Below are 3,096 nucleotides of genomic sequence, written 5' to 3' on the forward strand. Positions count from 1 at the left end.
CCTGGTGGAGAATGACTATAGATGATAAATTTTTTATTAGTGTTCAAAAGAACATAAACATCTATGAACTGAATTGAAAATAAAGCAAAGAACCGTTTATTTCCTTGAAAAATTTAAAATTATATTGGGAGAAAAATCCACACTTGTTAAGTACTTAGTCTTGTTGATTCTGGATTAGTATCTGTGGTGGCCCCTAATAGATATGTCTGCATTCTAACCCTGAAAGCAGTGAATACAATCTTATTTGAAATACAGTCTTTGCCAGTGTAACTAAGCTAATGATCTCAAGACGAGAACATCCTGTATTATTAAGGTGGGTGGGTCTGGAGTCCAGTGACAAGTGTCCTTATAAGAGACACACAGAGGATAGCATGTGGGGAAATACAGGAGAGGCCAAATCTGAGTCAGAGATTAAAGTTATGCAGTCACAAGCTAAGGAATGCCTAGAGCCTCCAGAAGCCAGAGAGGCAAGGAAAGATTGACCCTAGAGCCTTTAGAGGGAATTCGGCCAGGCTGGCACCTTAATTTTGAACTTCTTGCCTCTAAAATTTTAAGAAAATAAATTCTGTTATGCAAGCCTCCCACTCAGTGGTAATTTATCATGGCAGCCCTAGAAAACTAATACAGTAATTAATTGCATAAATTAAAGTACATTCACCAGTACAGTGTAATTACAGGCCATTACATAGGCACAAACAGGAGCCTTTCCTGTTTTGGTCATCACCAAATGCAGAAAGCTGGGCACATACTAGATGATTAATAAACATGTTGCTGAATGGCATCTATTTTCTGTTAATATCATAATTCATGTAAAGTGAAAAAATGTAAAGGACAGAAAGTAAAGCAAATATTTTACATCTTGTAGCTTTTAAAAATTTTTTTCTTAAATATGATGAGGAAGCACGTTTTCAGGGTTTCTAATGTAAGTTTCTTGGAATCAACAAACCTGAAAGAGAACTTTACACCTGTCCATTGTGAAAATACACTGTGCAATATATGTCATTTTCATGAAAGGAAAAAGTTTCATTTGAAAAGATTGACAGTCTACTATAACTTGCTTTTGCCACAAATCCATGAGTGAAATAGTGCAAGAGCTTTTAGCTGTTTTCCCATAAGGTGAGATAGATACCAAAAAATATAAAATATTGTGTATATGTTATGAAGCCCAGAAAAAGAGCAAATGTGAGCTGTATTCCCTCATTTCCTTAAGAATTAGAACATTAGAAATAAGGTGATTTTACTTATGTGCTTCTTGGTCGGTTTCCTGCCCCTTCCTCTTCCACCCACCCACCTGTATTAGTTTTTTATTGCTGCCAGAGGTAAAAACAAAAAACAAAAAACAAAAACAAAAACATAAACTCTGTTTAAAATAACATTTGATTATTTATCTCAGAGTTTGTGAGTGCTCTACCTTATGACAAAATGAAAGGATCATGGAGGCTGCGCTTATCTAACGTGCCACTGTATTAATCAAAAGATTCTGTTAAAAATAAAGCTTTGGTGCCGCAAAAGAAATAGCGCTAGAATATAAAATTTTCTTTTTAATTCTCAGCAAGGCAATGTACTTCTATAGAAGGGTGCGGCCTTAGAGATGGAGCAATGGTGAGCGCACACTTGGACCAGGGAGGGGAAGGAGTTCTTAACCCTGATGCACGTGGCCCCTGCTGTTGTGTCGTTCCCCTATTGGCTAGAGTTAGACAGCACAGGCTAAACTAATTCCAATTGGCTAATTTAAAGAGTGTGACAGGGTGAATGGTTTGGTGGGAAAAATGGTTATGACAGAGCAGGTAATCGGGATGAGTCAGGGTGGAATAAGTCAGGGTGGAGAATGAGTCAGGATGGAGAATGAGTCAGGGCAGAGCAGGCAATTGGAATGAGTTAGGGTGGAGCAGGTAATCCGAATGAATCAGGGTGGAGCAGGTAATCGAAAAAGGTTGCTTTATGAGGAAGTTAAGTTTAAAAGTAGAAGGCAAACAATTGAACATACTGACATATTGATTCTTTGAAGAGAAATATAGAACTCATATCTAACAATTCCATTTCCCTACATAATTTGCACCAAAAGCTAGTTCCTGAGGCTATTTCTCCAGGTTTCTGACCAGCATGCCCAGTGTATTCTGAAACAGCTGAGAAGCAGACACAAGGATCAGATGGGACTCCAGATTTTCATTCTGTCCAGTACAGCTAGATTAGAAAGCAAAGCTTGACTGCCAGAACAAACTGCATCATACTCTTCCTTCTTCTGAAATTAAATTTACCTTCCCAAGCAGAGGAACAAATAATGAACATGGTAAACTTACCATGGTAAGTTGACCATGGAGAAGAGAAAGCAGAGTGGAAAGCACATACTATGTGAAAAGCAATTTATTGCTTCCTGCAGGAGCACAGCGTTTTATTAACTCTGCTAAACAGTGGGCAGGATCTTGCAAGGAATGGTCTAATCTGATTACAGACATTCGCTAGCTTTTCAGATGATAAATTTTCAAGTCTTTGATGAAACCGCAGGTAATAAAGTTACTTTCACTGGCAGAATAACAATGAGTATTATTTTTGTCAGAATAATTTAATTGGAATAACTTAATTAGCAGATATTTTTGGCCTGTGAATAATGGCAGTCTAAAACGTTATATATGCTGCTAAAACTTGAATAATGTAAGACTAATCTTCATAATAAAGGTGATAAGACAGAGGCACCAGGAAGAACATCTTGATGCCAAAATATGTTAGCTAGCTGGACTTGTAAGAGGTACAGCCTTAGCTATTTTCCGATATGCAAAAATCTGCAGATGCCTATAAAAACTGTAGAACTCCTTTGAAGTCTGTTACTGATTTTAACTTGTGTGTGTGTGTGTGTTGTTTTTGTTGTTGTTGTTGTTGTTGTTTATGAGACAGAGTCTCGCTCTGTTGCCCAGGCTAGAGTGCAGTGGCGCAATCTCAGCTCACTGCAACCTCTGCATCCCAGGTTCAAGCAATTCTCTTGCCTCAGCCTCCTGAGAAGCTGGAACTACCGGTGCCCGCCACCACACCTGGCTAATTTTTGTATTTTTAGTAGAGACGGGGTTTTACTATGTTGGCCAGGCTGGTTTGGAACTCCTG

The 3,096-nt window shown here is 38.3% G+C and overlaps 1 annotated feature.

Annotated features, from left to right (window-relative positions):
• Positions 1,156-2,355: an enhancer, noted in NCBI's record as "P300/CBP strongly-dependent group 1 enhancer chr7:81487648-81488847 (GRCh37/hg19 assembly coordinates)". NCBI's record gives its function as "activates an origin of replication core promoter dependent on BRD2, BRD4, P300/CBP, MED14 and CDK7 cofactors, with strong dependence on P300/CBP, by STARR-seq in HCT116 cells {active_cell/tissue: HCT116}" and the evidence as "EXISTENCE:reporter gene assay evidence [ECO:0000049][PMID:35650434]".

Source organism: Homo sapiens, chromosome 7 (genome assembly GCF_000001405.40).
Source record: "Homo sapiens chromosome 7, GRCh38.p14 Primary Assembly".
NCBI classification, from domain to species: domain Eukaryota; kingdom Metazoa; phylum Chordata; class Mammalia; order Primates; family Hominidae; genus Homo; species Homo sapiens.